This window comes from Homo sapiens, chromosome 4 (genome assembly GCF_000001405.40).
Source record: "Homo sapiens chromosome 4, GRCh38.p14 Primary Assembly".
Lineage (NCBI taxonomy): Eukaryota > Metazoa > Chordata > Mammalia > Primates > Hominidae > Homo > Homo sapiens.
In genome coordinates this window covers 98,782,761-98,801,962 of record NC_000004.12, presented here as the reverse complement: position 1 = coordinate 98,801,962, position 19,202 = coordinate 98,782,761, and the positions used below count along the sequence as shown (strand labels likewise).

At 39.7% G+C, this 19,202-nt stretch overlaps 1 long non-coding RNA gene across 2 annotated transcripts in view, besides 1 other annotated feature; it reads left to right on the top strand.

The window, feature by feature from the left end:
- Window positions 1–18,076, top strand: part of LOC105377343 (uncharacterized) — a 78,644-nt gene extending 60,568 nt beyond the window's left edge. The window contains exons 1-4 of one of the 2 annotated variants that reach the window (XR_007058197.1): window positions 655–798; window positions 14,705–14,847; window positions 16,426–16,565; window positions 17,138–18,076. This is a non-coding gene — a long non-coding RNA (uncharacterized LOC105377343). Of the gene's footprint in view, window positions 1–654; window positions 799–14,704; window positions 14,848–16,425; window positions 16,566–17,137 lie in introns of those variants that run through there. The other variant, XR_007058196.1, reaches the window with a different exon arrangement.
- Window positions 411–705: a silencer, noted in NCBI's record as "tiled region #12926; K562 Repressive DNase matched - State 8:EnhW". NCBI's record gives its function as "represses a minimal TATA promoter and a strong SV40 promoter by Sharpr-MPRA in K562 cells {active_cell/tissue: K562}" and the evidence as "EXISTENCE:reporter gene assay evidence [ECO:0000049][PMID:27701403]".
- Window positions 18,077–19,202: the final 1,126 nt, after the last annotated feature.

Sequence of the window (19,202 nt, the reverse complement as noted above, 5' to 3'; positions counted from 1 at the left end):
GGCTTTACTTTGTGATGATTGTCCCTGAACTTACCTGCTGCTGAGCCAGTCTTCCCTTTTGATGCTATGCATTAGCTCTTAATGACAAGGCCCCAAATGCCAGACAGGGGTGTGCCATCCAAGCAGGCGTGTGTCTCACAGCCGTGGCATGACAGTCAGCCCCTGGGCTTAACTAGCACTTTGTGGGTGCCTTGGTGTGCACTTGGTCCTCCACTGATCCACCAGCATCTTGACCTGCCTTTCTCTGCATTGTCTCTTTGTATATCTGTGGGTCACAAAGCAGACAGTAGCTGCCAAGAAGCAGATGTGGTGACACAGTGTGCACAGAGTGGCTGGAAGGACTGACACTCTGTGGAGCATTGTTTCTCCAATGAATCAGCCCTGTCCCCACTTGGACCTCTTTCAGCTCAGCAGCAGGGCTTACCTTTAAGGCATTTTAAAGGTTCCCTTATCAAGGGTGGGAAGAGAGCTGAGGGAACCTACAGCTGTGTTCACTGATGGGCTAAAGCAGGCTTTTGATCACAGCTTTTCCTAGAAGAATAGCTGCGCAGGGATTATGTGCACCTCACTGTTTGTAATCTCTGACACAGCAGTGCAACTTTGCTTTGAGATAAAGGGCACTGCCGCCTCCTTTAATCACCCTGTGTGCTTCCAGGGAGTCGGAGCAGCAGTGGCCGGTGACAGTTCACATCGTGGCCGCTCCAGGCTCATCAGTTGAGAACTTACTATGTGCTGGGCACTGTGTTAAGGAAAATACATATTAGCAAACTCTTTCAACCAGCCAGTGTTGCGCTAAAGGTAAGTACTTTTATTATCCTTATTTTGCAGTCAAGAACACTGAGGCTTGAAGAGATTAAATAAGTTCACTGAGGTCACACAGTTAACAATAGAGAGCTGGAATTCCTACCCTGACCTTCCTGACGTGAAAACCCATGGTCTTTACCATTGTCACCTCCACTTTCCTGGCCTTCTGGAATCAGCTTAATCTCTGTCACATAGTCCTGGACTAGGCTCAGGCTAGGTCTTTTCCTCAGACTTCTGACTAGGGTTGGGGGGTCTACTTCCAGGACCACTCATGTGCTGTCACAGGCTTCAGCTTCTTATCGTGTAGACCTCAGGGCAGCTCACAATGTGGCAACTGCCTTCACCCAGAATGAGCAAGATGGCAGGGAAGGGGGTGGGGGATGGAGAGAATATGGGAGACGATGTTCAAGATGGAAGCCACAGTCTTTTTTTAGTCTAATCTCAGAAGTGACATCCTATTGCTTCTGTCATATTCAATTCCTCATTAGTGAGTTAACAAATCGAGTGTGTACTCATGCTAAAGGGTAGGAGCACCGGAAGGTGGGGATCACTGTGGCCATCTGAGAGTCTATCTACCATAACCCCTACAGTCATCTCTCCACTCAGTAGCCAGAGATATCTTTTAAAAAACTTTTATTTTGAGATAATTATAGATTCCAAGATGTCATTTAAAAATGTAAATCAGGTGAGGTGCAGCAGTTCATGTCTATAATGCCAGCACTTTGGGATGCCAAGGTGGGAGGTTCACTTGAGGCCAGGAGTTTGAGACCAGCCTTGGCAACATAGAAAGACCTCATCTCTACCAAAAATTTAAAACTTAGCTGGTGTAGCAGTATGCACCTGTAGCCCTAGCTACTTGTGAGGCTAGGTGGAAGGATTGCTTGAGGCCAGGAGTTCAAGGTCACAGTTAGCTATGATCACGCCACTGCACTCTAGCCTGGGCAACAGAGTGAGTCCTTGTCTCTATTTTTTTAAAAAAAATAATAATTATACATATTTTGAGACAGGTTCTGGCTCTGTCACCCAGGCTAGAGTGCAGTGGCATGATCTTGGCTCACTACAACATCTGCCTCCCAGGCTCAAGCCATCCTCCCACCTCCACCTCCCAGGTAGCTGGGGCCACAGGCACATGCCACCATATCCGGCTAATTTTTGCAATGTTATAAAGATGGGATCTCACTTTGTTGCCCAGGCTGGTCTCAAACTCCTGAGCTCAAGCGATTCACCTGCTTCAACCTCCCAAAGTGCTGGGATTACAGGTGTGAGCCACCATGCCCAGCCTAAAAATAATAATTAAAAAAAATAAATTTTAAAAATTCAAAAATCTAAATCAGATTATGTTACTCATCTGCTCAAAACCTTTTCATGGCTTCCCAATGTCCAAAGTTTTTATTTTGACCTGCAGAGCTCATTAGGGATCTCGGCTATTTTTTCTGACCCCATCTCCTTCCATTCACCCCTTTGCTCCCTTTATCCTTCTACACAGGCCTCTGCTATTTCTGCCAAACCCACTCCTGTCTCAGGGCCTTGAGTTTGGTGTTCCCTGTGCACTGGAGTCTCTTTCTCTGGATAACCACAGGCTTCTCTCAGATCTCTGTGAAAGTGGCACCTCCTCCTCCTGGCCACTCTAACTGAAATGCACCCTTTGCTAGTTTCTACCCCCTTATTTGGTTTCATTGTTCTCATGTCACATAGCACCTACCTGAGATGTTATATGTAATAACTGGTATAACCTCTGCAGAATCTTGTAGAATATTCATAGAATATCAAAGTCCTGAGTGCAGGGACTTGGTTTTGCATTTGCTTGTATCCTCCGTGCCTAGAACAATGCCTTGCCATAAATAGGTGATGATTATAATATGTCCCATTGGATAGAATTATGTGGAGGCAATAAACAAAATCCATGTCAACCAAAACCCAAAAAAGAAATAAAATAATTTTTATATTGTCTTTGTCGTGTGCTTTGCACACCAAATTCTGCCCTGGGAGTAGCAGTTTAGTCACTTCGGTTCACCAATATCAACACAGAGTTTTCATTATCAAGATGTCTGAATTCTAGCGCAAACCTCATAACACAATGAAAACCTTTTAAGACCAAAATGGCAATTTGATGGGAAAACTATTTTCAATCTCCTTAGTTTTTGAACTAGAACATACTAGCACTTCTCTTGGGAGCTCCATAGTGAGGTCTGATGCACTTCTTAATGGCTAAGAGAGAGGAAATTGGAGAACCCTGGCGATGAAGATATCAGCTGGGACAATGGGGAATTGAAGGTCAGTTTTGTACGCACTTCTTGCAAGCACTATAACTTAAATTCAAGCCTCCTAAGCAGTGACAGGGGAATAAAACCCAGGGCTGAATGATTGATTTTGTTGTCCTTACTTCAGTACTACATATCAAGTATATTTTTTAGTGGAAAGCTTTTGGTATACCTATTAGTATGGCAGGCTTTTACCCTCGACTCGAGAACTTGTGAGAAAATGCTTGAGGCTGGTGCAAAGAGTGCTAAGGGGATGTACTATATGATCTTTATCATAATGCAATAAGAAAAGAATTGAGTACTCTTTGTTGTAAAAGAAGAGAATTTGCTTTGAACACATCAGACTTGAGAAATTGAACGGGCAAAGGAGCCTGGCAGCTCAACTTTTATGGGATTTTTTTTCCTTTAAAATATTAGAATCTCTTATATAACTCATGGACTATTTTTCTGAGTAGCACTTGAATGTGAGAAGAGTCCTTTAGAATAATCTCTGTGGAATAAATTTTGTGTCAGCATCTTTTTTTTTTTTTTTTTTTCTGCATGGCATGGTGGGCTTTTAAAGACCGTTTTAAAAAAACTTCTCTTTCCTCTCAAAGACATACGCATTAGAAAAAAGTTGCTTCATACTGCCTGGAAACCAATTAAAATGGAAAATGCTAACTTGTCTAAGTCTCTGTTTTCTCACCTTTAAAGTGGGGCTGGTATTTCCACCGTTTAAGGATATAGTGAGGATTAAATGAGACAATACAGCCACAGCTCTAACCTCAGAGCTTTGCAAGTAGCCGACCTCCTATATATTATCCTTCTTGTTGTTACATTGTTATAAGAAGGAAGTAAAGAGCTCAATTTATAGCCTTAACAACAATTTAGGGAAGAAGTAGTTCCAAAGACATGAAAGTCCAAAGAAAAAGCTAACTGGTGGTGATTTCATAAAAATTTGCACAACTTTCAGGTTCAACTCAATAGAGTATCATTGTCCTCCTTCTATTATTCAGTAGCTAAATATGGTGTTCTCAAATCAAAGGGAAGTAATTGGCATTCATTTTAATTTTTAAGCTTTACTTTTTAAAAATTGGCTATACAAGTTGGGCATGGTGGCATATGCCTGTAGTCCTAGATACTTGGGAGGCTGAGGTGGGAGGATCACTTGAACCCAGGAGTTCAAGTCTAGCTTGGGCAACATAGTGAGACCTTCATCTCTAACGAAATAAAATAATAGGGGTTATACATTACATGGTTCAAAATTCAAAAGATCCACAGGGTGTGAAGCAATGTCTCCCTTCCACCCCAGCCTACCCAGATATAGTCTAGTTACATACAAAGACTTGTGCATACTTTTCCCTTTACACAAATGGGAACACATAGCACTTGCTGTTCTGCACCTTCATTTTTTCACTTAACAAATTACATTAACAATAATTCTCATTTTGTAATGGTTGCATACAATTCTTTGTATAGATGAACATAATTTGTAAGCCTGTTAATGAACATCAGGTTGTTTCAATCCTTTCCTGTTATAAACCACATTGCAATGAATAATCTTGTGCACACGTCATATCTCACAAGTGCAAATATATACTTGAAGGATAAAATTATAGAAGGGTAATTTTGATAGGAATTGGCAAATTTCCCTCTAACGCAGTTGCGTCAATCTTTTACTCTCACCAGCAACGAATGAGCAAGGCTTTTTCCCCACACCCTTGCCAACACAGCGTGATGCCAAATGGTTTTTCTCTCGGCTATTTTGACAGATGAAGTTTTATTTTGCATTTCCTATGAGCCCATTTGAACATCTACAAAATATGTTTAAGGGCCATTTGTATTTCCTTTCCTGTGAACGGTGGATTTCTCTCCTTTGCCCATTTCTCTATTGGCTACTGGTACAGTGGGATATTAAAGGTTAGAGTGCATTGGATAGTAGAAAGGCATAAGTCTTAAAGTTGATGGACTAATATTTAAATTCTGGTTTGATCTTTTATAGGTTATGTAAATACTTTTTGAGCTTCAGTTTCCTCATCTCTAAACTTATGATAACAATCTCTTTTTCACACAGCTCTAGGGAAGATTAAAAGAGATAATTTACGTAACATACTTAGTACAATATCTAAACCCTTAGTGGGGGCTCCTTCCATAATCCACGGTTTTATAAAGATTGCAGCAAACGTTTTTCATACTTTTAAGGAGTCACATATAATTTCACAAAAAAAGAAGAAAAAAGATATGAAGAAGAAAGAATAGTGAGTGGAAAGAGAAGCCATGTTTTATCTTTAAAAGCTCATGGGTGTTAACTTTTATTATAAAATTTTTCACACTTAGGTATTTTCAATCCTTTTTAATCTGTTGCCCAGCATGCTTCTAAAGCCACTTCTTCCTCTGAAGGTGATTAGGGAATACAGGCTAATTTTAATATTAGCATAAGTAACACATAATTAGGGAAGTAAATCTTCTGTGCCCAGATGCCCATTATGCATTACAAAGTCAATATGTAATATGGCTTTAAAAAGTCATTTGCTGCTTGGCATTATTTGGGGGTTTATCAGGGCTTTGCATAGAGCCTTACAGTCAGCTCACAATAGTGTTTGCTAAACTGACTTGGTCCCTTGTTTCTTTTTGCTGGTAGGATAGCAAAAATGCCATCTTCTAGACTCTTCCTTGGGCAGGTGGGTGCCATTTCTCTTTGAATCACTAGTGCCTAGCTCAGTGTGAGGGACATAGTAAAGGCTGAATCAAACTGAATCCTGAGGTGAGACATGGGCTTTTCAAATTCCATATGAATCAAGGTTAAGCCCCCAAAGCATTCTGAGTGTCACCGACTTTCCAAAAGGACACTGATGTACTCACTCTTTTGCTCTATATGCATTTATTTTGCCAGAACTATCTATAGAGACAGGATTTTCAACTTCTTTTTAAGTTCACAACATACTATTTTTACTGTCTTTCAAATTTCCTCTTTCTGATTCATCAAATGTGATATGCTATATATTCATTTGAAATAAAATTAATTGTAAATCAGTTTTGTGAGTTCCTTAATATCTCATGAGATAAATGGAGAGACTGTAAAGTGTTATGAAACCAGGATGGAAAATTTAGTCTGCATATTCCAGGATGTGCTATTTCAATAGCTTCATAAATGAGGGAATGCTGAAGATAACTTTCTCATGTTTTTTCTCTTTCTAACCATTTAATAGTTGGTTGCTCTCTTCTCTATAGGCCTAGGATGCAGTTTACTGAGAGTAAACATGGCACATGCTTCAGCATAGAGTTTCCAAGCAAAGGATGACAGATTCTCACAAGCCTCACTTTTACTTGACGAAATGGAAGGGTAGGATCTCTGTATTTCATTTCTGAGAAAGCACACAGATTACTGCAACTGTCTACCTTTTGGCTTCCGGCAATTTGTCTCCTTTGCCTATGAAGAACCACCTACTCTCTTTGTGTGCTTAAAAAGTCACTTGAAGATCCCTATCCTTTTGCTCATCACCAGTGCCCCCATGCCAACTCTGCGTGGGGATTGCAGAGTCTCCACTTAGTGACAGTCATATTCATCTTTCCAAAGTCTGGGAAGACTGCAGAAAGGGACACACCAATATATTCCTATGTTTCAATGCACTTTAGCCTTAGGGATTTTTGTCAAACATGGCAGGAAGGCCAAATGTGTATAAAACATCACTGCAAGGGCTCTGAGCCTGGAGATATACCCTAAAAGTGCCTGGTGAGATTACTGACAGTCCCTGTGGGTCCAAAGAATTGCTGTTCACTTGTCGGACCCTACTGTCTTCTTATTCCCTCCTCCAGGTTATCCCTTTCCATTGTCATTGATATCTTTGTCAGGGAATGTGCGATAGAGCAAGCAAAGGCAACACATCCTGATTAGCTCTATCACTTGCTAATAGATGTGGTAGAGCAGGTAAATTTCATAGGCAGAATCTAGTTTGTGGTTCAGCAACAAGATCCACCTGTTCCTGAGACCTGTAACCATAAGTAGTTGAGAGTTAACAACATGCAAATTTTTGCTTCAAGAAGAAACTAGTTAGGCTTCAGGGCTTGAACATACCCTTAGGGATAGGAACTGGATAACTTAGCAGAAACTCACACAAGTAAGAGCCTGCTAAGAGTGGGAGGGTGACTCAGCAGTGGCCCAGGAAGCTAAACAGCAAAGACTTGCTGATTAGTCTCAGAGAAGCTGATCTGAAAGAATATGAGAAGCTACAGGGACTGAGGTTAGGAATGAGGTGGTTCAGGTTGACACGCTGCTTTAATCACCAGATGCTCCATTATTTCCATCCTGCTAATTGTAGTTTCAAAATTAGCAACAACTCCCCCACAATAATTAGGGTTTATAAGTGCATGTGCCCACATTTCAGGATTACGCATGTAGTGTTCAAGTGTTATACAGCTAAAATTATTGTGTGTATTTGTGTAACTTGTTCGCTGAATAAGTGAATTAAGTAGGATACAATCAAGAAACAGCTCTGTTTCTCCTACCACTGCCTATAAACACACTTGGTCGGACCTCTATTCAAAGCCCCTTGAATGCATCTAGGGTAGAAACATAGTTCTTTGGTCTTTTATCACCTTACTAAATTCTTTCATTATTTATAATAGTTTTTCAATAGTGTCTCATATTTTCCATGTATTCGTCAGATCAAATGAAAATAGTTTGCAAAAGTTTTCTCCCATCTGTAGGCTGTCTGTGCACTCTGTCCCTAGTTTCATCTGGTGCAATGTACTTTATTCTTTTACTTCTCAAACTGTTTTCTTTTCTCTGTTGTAAAGCCACCCCACATTTTAGGGTTTTGTTATGGTAGCACCCCACTTTTGGTGCCAAAATAATTATTAGTTGTCCATATACAACAAGTTATCCTAAAATTTAAATGTTTAAAACAATCAATATTTACGAATGCACTCAATTTCTATGAGTCGGGAACCCAGGAGCAGATCACTTTGGAGGTTCTGTCTCCATGTCTGTATGAGGTTACAGTCAAGGTGTTGGTCAGGGTTGCAGTCATGTGTAAACTTGTCTGAGGTGGGAGGATCCTCTTACATGATGAAAAACTCAAGTACTTGGCAAATTCGTGCTGGTTCTTGGCAGGAGGCCTCAACTCCTCATTATGTGGACCTCTCTATAGGGATGTGATCATGAACATGGCAGCTGGCTTTTCCCATAGAGAATAGTCCAAAAAAGAGCAAGGTGGAAGCTGTAGTGTCTTTCATGCTACCATTTCTTGCATCTTATTGGTTACTTAGGTTAGCTGTATTCATTGTAAGAGGCTATAGCACAAGGTCATGATTACCAGGAGGCAATAATCATTGGAGGCCATACTAGAGATACATAATTATGGCAGATACCTAAAATAATGTGTTTGAAAGATCTTTAATGATTGGTTAAATGAAAGAAAAGATTCAAAACTGTTAAAGCAGTATAATCTAAAAGTTATTAAAAATAACGTTTTAATGTTGTCTGAAAGTATGTGTGCATGCAGAAAAGATAGACCAAAAGGGAAACAAAAATGTTAGCATGACTTTTTTCTGAGAGGATGATGAAAGTTTAGGTTTTCCCATTTTTCTCAATGTGTGTGTGTGTGTGTGTGTGTGTGTGTCTATTTTCAAAGTTTTCTAGAGTATAAATGAATAGCTTTATAATTAATAAACATGAATTTTGAGGGCACAATTAGAAAAATTATTTTAAAATTTTGCTTATTTTCTTGAAGACACAATTTATATTATTTCCCTTTAGTTTGAAAGTTAAAGTAAACTTTCGATACCCAGTAAAAATCTAATCACAATTTTAAATGCTAGGAGCTGTTAACTCTTAATTTGGCAGTTGATGACTTATTTCATCTTTTAAGATAATCATCTGCCAAGTTTTAAATTAATATTTGTAGTAGCACAGATGGAATATGTGTGCATGCATAAATGAGTGTGTTCAATGAGAGAGGGAGAAAAGGACTCCTTTAAATATTCTTCCAGAGAATTATTGCTTAGTAATAGCCTTTGGGCTATTTAATATTCAATACTAACTAAGAATCGCAAACTTTCAAATTTCCTCCTTTACTCAAACCCTTGCCTTCATAATTTTTCCAAAAAGATGAAATTTAAAGAAGAAATATAAAACATTCCCATGAGATTGTTTGAAACAGAAAGACAAAGCAAAGTTTAGTTGAGCTGGATCTGAAACTTCCAAAAATGTACCAAGGTTGAGATTCTTTGAAGCTCTTTCTGAAAATTAATGCAGAAGTTATTCTTTCCTTTGGATGTGAAAACCGTCTATGTTTATGAAGTTATTTAATGCACAACTCAGGATCCTAGAAATCTTTCCAATTACATCTCCATCCACTCAGATCAGAGCCACTGTGTTTCACTGCTCATAGGAGCCCAACTGAGTGTTACTGGGGCTGAAGTCCAGTTTTACATACTTTTCCAGACATTAACTATGAGAGGAAATCTGTTTTTTCCCCCTCCTAATTCATAAATTGTCTTCAGATGGACTAGGAGTGAATTTTATCACTCCTTTGCATTTTGAACCCTAGGAAATCCTAGCCATTTTGTCTGCTGTTTTGATTTTCCACTCATTATCTTTCAATTATTGCTGGGGTATTTCTGTGTTTTATACATTGCTTTCTCAGCTCCTTGTAAGTTCCTCAAGGTCAAGGACCATGCCTTACATTTCTCATTTCCTATGGGTGGCTACCAACATAGCAAATGGCAAACTCTAGCCATGATCAAAAGGCATTTAATTAATTGTTAGACACCTGAAACTTAAGTCTCTAATGTATTTATATCCCCGTACTTTGTGCTATTTTTGTTGTATATTTTCCATCTACGCAAATTGCAAATTCCAAATATAATTTTTTTACCTTAAAGGGCCAACTATCTTTAATATAATTAAAAAAGGAAAAAATGATAACCTTTTATATCTACCGAAAAAATGGTAACTTTTTATATCTACCAATGTATTTACATTTTTGGTACTTTTCATTACTTCTATAAATTTGAGTTGCCATGTGACATTTTCTTTCAGCCTGAGGAATTTTCTCTAACTACATTTCTTATAATTGATGTTTGGGGGTAATAACTTCTCTTAGTTTTCATATATTGACAATATCTATTTCACCCTCATTTTTGGAGTATATTTTGGCTGTATATATAGTTCAAGATTGACTTTTTCCCCCTTTAGCACTTTAAACAAATCTTTTAATTGTCTTCTGGCTTCCATTATTTCTGATTAGAGGTTACATATCATTTTCTTTTTTTTTTTTTAGAAAGAGTCTCATTTTGTCACCCAGGCTGGAGTGCAGTGCAGTGGCACGGTCTCAGCTCACTGCAACCTCTGCCTCCCAGTTCAAGTGATTCTCCCACCTCAGCCTCCTGAGTAGCTAGGATTACAGGTGTGAGCCACCATGCCCACCAATTTTTTTTGTATTTTTGGTAGAGATGGGGTTTCACCATGTTGGCCAGGCTGGTCTTGAACTCCTGACCTTAAGTGATCCGCCTGTCTTGGCCTCCCAAAGTGCTGGGATTACAGGCGTGAGCCACTGTCCCTGGCCCATGTATCATTCTTATAGTTGCTCCTCTGTAACATCATTTTTTTTCCTAACTGATTTAAAGATTTTATCTTCAATTTTCAGGCAGTTTGACTATAGTGTGCCCACATGTGGTTTTCTTTGTATTTATCCTGCTAGTGATTTGTTGAGCTTCTTGAATCTGTGGGTGGATGTTTTTCACAAAATGTGGAACATGTTTGGCCATTATTTCTTCTAATTTTTTTCTACTTTATTCTCTTTCTCCTCATCATCTAAGACTCCAACTGCACGTACATTAGACAACTTGATCTTGTCTCATACCTTCCCTGTCTATGGCACAGGATATTTGTGATGTTAATAGAATGTGAAAAATCATTTTGAAGGTTTATACTTTAGCCTCAATAATATGAATTTTAAAAAGGAGTCTGTAGTAGTACTATCAGAGTTATTACAAGGATGAAATGATTTATGAAAGAAGCATTAAGGAGTACCTGACATATACTAAATACTCAATAAATTATTATTATTATCTGTATCAGTTAGCTATTGCTGCATAATAAATCACCTCACATAATAATTGTGGTGGAAAGCAATTGTTTCTTACAAGTCTACAGGTTATCTGGCAGCTCTTCTGATCAGAGATGGGTTCATCTGTTCTCATTCACATGTGTGGGGATCATCTGGCTATTATGTAATCTATGATGGCCTCCACTGGGATGGTTGGGTCTGCCACATGCGTTTCATCCCCCAGCTGCCTAGTTCTCATGATGATGACAGAGCACAAGAGAGGAAGTGGAGACATTTGGAGATTTTAAAAAAATTCTTTCTTTTTTTAATTGACAAAATTATATATATATATATTTATGGTATACACATATGATATTTTGATATATGTACACATTTCAGAATGGCTAACTCAAGCTAATTAATATATACATTACCTTATACCCTTATCATTTTTTATAGTGGGAACAATTAAATCTACTCTCAGCAATTGTAAGTATACAATACATTGTTATTAACTATAGTAATCATGCTGTACAATGGATCTCTTGAACTTATTCCTTTTGTCTGTCTAATTTTGTGTCCTTTGACCAGCATTTCCCCAGTCTTTTCCACTTCAGCCTCTAGACCCTGGTAACCATCATTCTATTCTCTGCCTCCCTGAGTTCAACTTTTTTATTACACATAACAGGGGGAATAAAAATGTCCCTGGAAGAATGTAGTTAAAAGATAAAAATACAATATAAATATACATATTATTTCTCAATATAAACTCCATCAAGTTCAAAATACTTTTGTAAACAATGATACTAGCCTATCCCTAAAGAACTCAGGGCCTTGGGAATTTAATCATGTCAATGCAGTCTCTTTTTTTACATCATTAACTGAGAAAAAAAATGGGTGCCATTTACACATTTTTTAATATTAGGAAACAAAAAGAAGTCAGGAGGAACCAAATCAGAACTGTAAGGTGGATGCCTAAAATTGCCCTTGGTTGATGAGAAGAAGGAGCAGGAGCATTATCATGTAGAGAAAGAGTATCTGGTGAAGCTTTCTCGGGCATTTTTCTGCTAATAGCATTGGTTAACTTTCTCAAAACACTCTCATAATAAGTAGATGTTATTATTTTTTCTGGCTGTCCAGAAAGCCAACAAGCAAAATGCCTTGAACATCCCAAAAAACTGTTGCCATGACCTTTGCTTCTGACCAGTTCACTTTTGCTCTGACTGAACTTCTTCCACCTCTTGGTAGCCATCGCTGTGATTGTACTTTGTCTTCAGGATTGTACTGGTAAGGCCGTGTTGCATCTCCTGTTACACTTCTTTGAAGAAATGCTTCAGGATCTTGCTCCTACTTGTTTAAGATTTCCATTGAAAGCTCTGCTCTTGTCTGCAGCTAATCTGAGAGCAACAATTGTGGCATCCATTGAGTGGAAAGTTTGCTCAATTTTATTTGTCAGTCAGAAATGTGTAAGCTGACCCAGTTGAGATGTCTGTGGTGTTGGCTTTTGTTTCTGTCATTAATCGTCAGTCCTCTTCAATTAGGGTATACACAAGATTATTTTCTTCCTTGAATATTGATGTGGATGGTCTGCCTCTGTGAGCTTCATCTTTAACTTTGCCTCATTGTCCATTTGTAAACTGCTGATTTCTTTGGAGCATTGTTCCCATAAACTTTTTGTAAAGCATGAATGATTTTATCATTTTTCTACCTAAGCTTCAGCATAAGTTTGGTATTTGTTCTTGCTTCAGTTTTTGAAGATTTATGTGGCTCTGATAGGTGCTCTTTTCAAACTGATGTTCAATACTTTTTAATGCCTTAAACTAGATCCTGTCCAGACGTGTTTTTTTTTTTTTTTTTTTTTTTTTTTTTTAGATAGTCTTGCACTGTCACCCAGGCTGGAGTGCAGTGGTGAGATCTTGGCTCACTGTAACCTCCCCATCCTGGGTTCAAGTGATTCTCCTGCCTCAGCCTCCTGAGTAGCTGGGATAACAGGCATCTGCCACCACTCTTTGATATTTTTTGTATTTTTAGTAGAGATGGGGTTTCACCATATTGGCCAGGCTGGTCTTAAACTCCTGACCTTGTGATCTGCCTGCCTCAGCCTCCCAAAGTGCTGGGATTACAGGCGCCTGGCACCAGACATGTTATAATAGGGTAGTACAAGTTTATTTTGGTTAAAAAATGGTTTGAGATCTATGCATAGTTTTTTCACAATATGCATTTTTCCATGAACTTTTTGAAGTCCCCTTGTGTAAGTGAGGTCCTACAGTATTTGTCTTTCTGTGCCTGGCTTATTTCCCTTAACATAACGTTCTTCAGGTTTATCCATGTTGTCACAAATGACAGGATTTTTTAAATTTTTGAAGTCTGAATATTATTCTATTGTGTAAATATACCACATTTTCTTTGTCCATTCATCCGTTGATGGACACAGATTGATTCCTTAACTTGGCTATTGTGAATAATGCTGCAATAAATATGGGAGTGCAGCCATCTCTTTGACATGCTGACTTCATTTCCTTTGGATTTATACCCAGAAGCAGGATTGCCAGATCATATGGAAGTTCTAGTTTTATTTTTTTTTTGAGGACCCCCATACTGTTTTCTATAATGGCTGTACGAATCATGTAAAGGTTTTTTGAAGCCCCTGCTTACATCAACATTGCTACAGCCCCATTGGTCAGAACAAGACACATAACCAAGCAGAAAGTCAGTGTGGAAGGGTACTGCCCAAGAGCACGGATGTAGGAAGGCATAAAAGAATGGCCCATTAATGCAATCAATATACATTACCCTTATTTATCACTATTATTTTCATTTACTTCTGCAAATAAATCACCAGTAAGTTGCATTATGACCCTCTTCCACATTTACTTACTTTCAGGTGAGGTCAGTCAGAGCAAAACAATCTAGGAATGACAGAGGATGCTGTTTATTCTATTTTTTCTTGAACTGGGTCTCCTAATAAGGGACACACACAGAGCTTATCAAAGCATGAAGAAAGTGTATTTTTGCTTTCTCTTCACCACCTTCCTTCTCCACCTAACTCTCAGCCAGAGAAAACTGCAGATAAGAATTTAGTATTGCTAGAATATTTTGTGGGATGTTTTCCCCTATTGTCTATCTATACCATTCCCTTTATCAATGTGCTGCAGATATTTTTGGAGATAATAAGGAAATTGAGAAAAAATTCAAGGACAAGAGCATGATAGGGTAATGACCAAAAAAAAAAAAAAAAAAAAAAAAATCCCAAAACCAAAACCAAAAAACCCAGATGCTCTAAAATACAAGGAGTAAGTAGAGACTGGAAGGGGATAAAAATGTGAAGATTTTGGTAGCCAATTATAACAGGTTTGTAAACGTATATGAAATATGAAGTGTTCAAAAATTTCAGTATCATTTTATTTATCATTGCCCACTTTTAAAAAAATGAGATAAGGTCTCATGATGTTGCCCAAGCTGTTCTCGAACTCCTGGCCTCAAGTGATTCTCCCACCTCAGCCTCCCAAAGTGCTGGGATTATAGGCAGGAGCCACCACACCTTGCCCCAACTTTGTGAATAGAATGTACTGGCTGAATAGGAAGGAACAATGTCTTTTTTTATTCCAGCTGCTGCTTGCCTCTTCCTTTTCATGCTACCAAAGCGGAGTTCAGCACAACAGAAACAGATGGACAGAAAGTTTCAGAAGACATGGGATTTTAAAAACCACCGATCTGTTAGGAAACAGCCTTGTTTCCTCATTTCCACGGAAGTAAGGGTTTATTGGAATCTATGGACACCACAGAAAACCACCACTCCTGGTACTGCTGCCCTCTGTCTGTGTCCAAAGAAATGGATTTCAGGTCCTGCTTCCATTTGATAAAGGAGACATACTCAGCTACTCATATTCATGCCTTTCTTTTTCTCATTAACTTACTGGTCTTGATAGTGTATCACACCACGTTAATTTCTTTTATGGTCGGAGTTCTCCTTAGAATCGGAAAACTTTTTTTAAGTTTATTTTTTTCTTTTTTGAGACAAAGTCTCGCTCTGTCACCCAGGCTGGGGTGTCATGGTGCAATCTCGGCTCACTGAAATCTCCGCCTCCTGGATTCAAGTGATTCTCCTGCCTCAGCCTCCTGAGTAGCTGGGATTACAGGCACACAGCACCACACCCAGCTAATTTTTGTATTTTTAGTAGAAACAGGGTTTCACCATGTTGGCCAGGCTGGTCTCGAATCCTCAGTCTCAAGAGATCAGCCCACCTTGGTCTCCTAAAGTGCTAGGGTTACAGGTGTGAGCCACCATGCCCGGCTGAGTCAGAAAACATTTTAACTGCAAGGCCCACAGAAATCATCTCGCCCAAACCAATTCCATAACAAATGAGAAAACAGAAGCCTAGAGAAGTGAAGTCCAGGTAAAGATAGGTTAGCACTCAAGTTTGTAGCTTCCAGCCCAGAATATTTTATAACAACTTTGCTGTCTCCCTGTAGCACATCCATTGCACCAAACAACAAGTGTCTGAGCTCCTCGTGTCTTCCAGCTGTTCAGGGCACTGGCGGTATGCAGGCTCTGCATCCCTAGTCTGCACCCTCAGGCACATGTATCCCCTGTGCACCCCTTCATTCCTTCAGCCACAAATTAGTATTATTATGCAAATGGCCAACTCCAAGATGTGGCTACCCTTTAACAGATTAATTCAGATATGTCTGAATTTTACTTGGGCCCAAAGTCAGACACCAGCTAAAGTGCTCTGTAATCGTACGTATTATTTTATCAGTTTAGCAGTCTCATAACAAGAGTATCTGGGCCTTCCTGGGTCTTGATCTGTCACCCAGTGCAATGGTACAATCATGTCTCATTGCAGTCTTGAACTCTTGGGCTCAAGTGATCCTCCTGTTTCAGCCTCCATGTAGCTCAGACTACAGGGTGCCTGCCACAGTGCCTGGTTAATTAAAAAAAAAAAAAAAAACAACTTTTTTTTAACAGGATCTCATTATGTTGCTCACTCTAGTCCCCAATTCCTGGCCTCAAGTGATCCTCCTGCCTTGACCTCCCAAAGCACTGGGATTACAGGCATGAGCCACTGTGCCTGTCCTCATGTATAAATTTTATTTTGATACATATGAGAGCATCTTATGATTATGGTGATGGTCTGGTCCCTAAAGCTTAGTAGGTCCCACAGGACAGTATAGAAGTGGGCACAACTTACTACAAGGAGCAACAATGAAGAAGAATAGTAAAGTCTTGCCTAGGATAGACCATTTCCTGGTCACAGAAGATCTTTAACTTTGGAGCATATAAAAGAATGTGACCAGGGCTGTAAACACAGTTTTTTTTTTCCCAATAGCAATACTGTTCTGCAGGATGACCAAGTGAACACTGCAATTACTGGGAGGTTTTATAGACACCATAAAATTGTAAAACTGCAGAGGTGATTTCAGTAATTTATTGCTGGCTTCTTCAGCTCCCAGACCAAGTTGTATACAGGTAATTATAAGAGAGGAGTTAACAAAATACTGGAGTTGGGGAACAGAGAAAATTTATTTTTACTAAGTCACAAAGGGCAGGGAGGAGAGATCAGGCAAACGATCAAAGTGACAAAAGGCCATTCCTGGTTAAGAAAATAGCAGATGGTGGCAGAAACTTCTAATTGTCTCCCCTTTCATGAAGACCATGCATTTGGGTAGAGCACATGGCCACTAGCTAGAGACTATATTTTCCAGCCTCTTTGGAGGTAGCCATGGCCATGTGACTAGGTTCAGGCCTATAGCGTGTGAGTAGCAGCGATCGTGCAACTTGAGTCAACTCCTTAGAGGCAAAGTGACTTACCCCAGGCTTTCTCTTTGCCAGACATGAAGGTAAGCTTTCTTCAATCCTGTGGACAATGGCAACACCTCAGGAGATGGTGAAGAAATAAGATGGTAGGACCTTGAGTCCCTGAATGACTGTGTGGAGCAGCACTGCCCTTCCAGTTCTGTACACTCACCTCAGGACTACTTCAGGAGGGAAATACAAACTCTAATTGAAGGCATTCTCTTTTCATTGTCTCTTTGTTACAGCCACTAAATCTGAAGTCTCATACAACGTTCAAAGGCACAGGAATGTGAAACATCGCGTTATGCTCAGGGAAATCCTTGTGAGTGGAGCATCGATGAATGAGTTAAGAAGCAGTGGGAGGTCGGGCCAGAAATGTTGGAAAGGCAACAATCAGTGTGGCTTCGTGTACAGGAAACTCATGGCTGGGTTTGATTTCTCATAACAGAGCCACAAATGGGCTGTGTACAGACATCTTTGGTCTTAATAGGCATGGAATGAGGTCTGTCCTCTTCTAGTCATTTCTGCCTCAAAAACAAACAGCTAAGCAGCACTTTATTGCTGGCATCTAACAGCCTTGGTCCTGAATCATTGGCCATGCACCATGCCTCAAAGAATCTCAGCTTCTCATTTTGTGATGCATCTTCCAGTTGATACCTCAGCTGGCCACTTGTACTTCCTGTCTGACCCAGCTGTCCTCAGTCAACATCCAGCCTTGCCCACCCGGCCCTCTGCAGACTCTGCTTTGGTCCAGAGTTAGGGAGCACTCCCCCTGGGTCACCATAGACCCTGGGCCATAATTTGGTGGAGCACTCCAGAAATGTAAAACCTTTTGGTCAAATCTGACAGGTATTCTATTTCCAGGACAAAATTAATGAGAGAATTTCTTTTTCTATACTGAACTTTACTGCCATGTTGTTAAGGAACTTCCATATGCTTAACTTTCTACTGTATTGGCTGTAGTTGACAATTTGGAAAACAACTTACTTAAAGAAAATAGGGGCTTTAAAAATCCTATTTCTAATAATCAAGAAAGAGGCATTTTTTTCCTTTAACTTTCCTATTAAACTTTTTAACCACCCCAGTTTCAAGAATCTTCAACATACAATTAGATCTTTTATTATTTGGTGATGTTGGGTGTCAGCAATCTGTGCTTCTACAAATAAAGCTAAATGTTCATCACAGCCACATATCACTGATTTCTAAATCCAGCTTCCTTTCCAGATTCCCTTTCTACCCTCCTCTCTGCTGCTGTGTGTCCTGGGAGGCTGACCTGCCTACTTAATAGGCTTCCTGTCCTCTGGCTTCAGGGGGATTTGGGCAATGGGAGACCCTGTCAGGAGATCAGAGGGTGCAAGGAAAGTAAGGTCAGGAGGTTTGTCCCTCGTGGCTCCCTCCCACTGGGTTGCTATGGGTTGGCTGCAGAGTCAGATGCCTCACTCTACCAAAGATGACAGCTCCTCTCAGATGGCCATACCAGGTCTCCATACAGCTCTTCTCTGGGCTTGGGTTCAGGTCCCTGATCCTCCACACTCCCACTTTTTCTGACAATGCTGGCTCCCCAGTGCTGCTAGCTATGAGGAGCTGCGCCTTTTCCTCTTGGTTTCTCTAATGCTGCCTGCCCCCACCCACCTTTGTAAGTAGCCTCTTTATTAAATTGCCTTCAATTATCTAGTTTCAGGGTACCATTTCCAATTCCTGCTGGAAAACTGACTGGCACAGTGATTAAGCTAGAATTGTCTGGAATGCACCACAGCACATGGACCCTGGAAGGGAGGTTGCACATTAGGTGCATTCACCTGATCTGAATGACCTGATTCTAACCAGTGCCCCAACTACACCTCATGTATTTTTCATTGTTTCTTCAAGACAGAGGACTAGTTACTCCAGCCTTGACATGAAGATGGCCCTGGATTGGATGTTGCTACAGGCATAGGGAACAAATGTCTCCTTTCCCTACAGCACTCTTTCCCCAAAGAACATTGCTCTCTCTTTCTCCTCGTCTCTGTCTCTTTCTCTCTCTCTCTGTGTACGTGTGTGTGTGTATGTGTGTACAGCCACATATATGTGTGAATACAGAATTCTTTTTTTCTGAACCAACTGGATAAGTTACCTTATGGCACTTTACCTTTAAATACTTCAATGTGTATTTCTAAGAATAGGGATATTTTCTTACATAACTATAGTGCAGTTATCAACTCCATAAATTTACATTGATATAATATTTTCATCTAATCTGGCATCTATATTCCAGTTTGTCAGTTGATCTAATAATGTTCTCTACAGCGTTCCTTTCTCTTCTGGTATAGG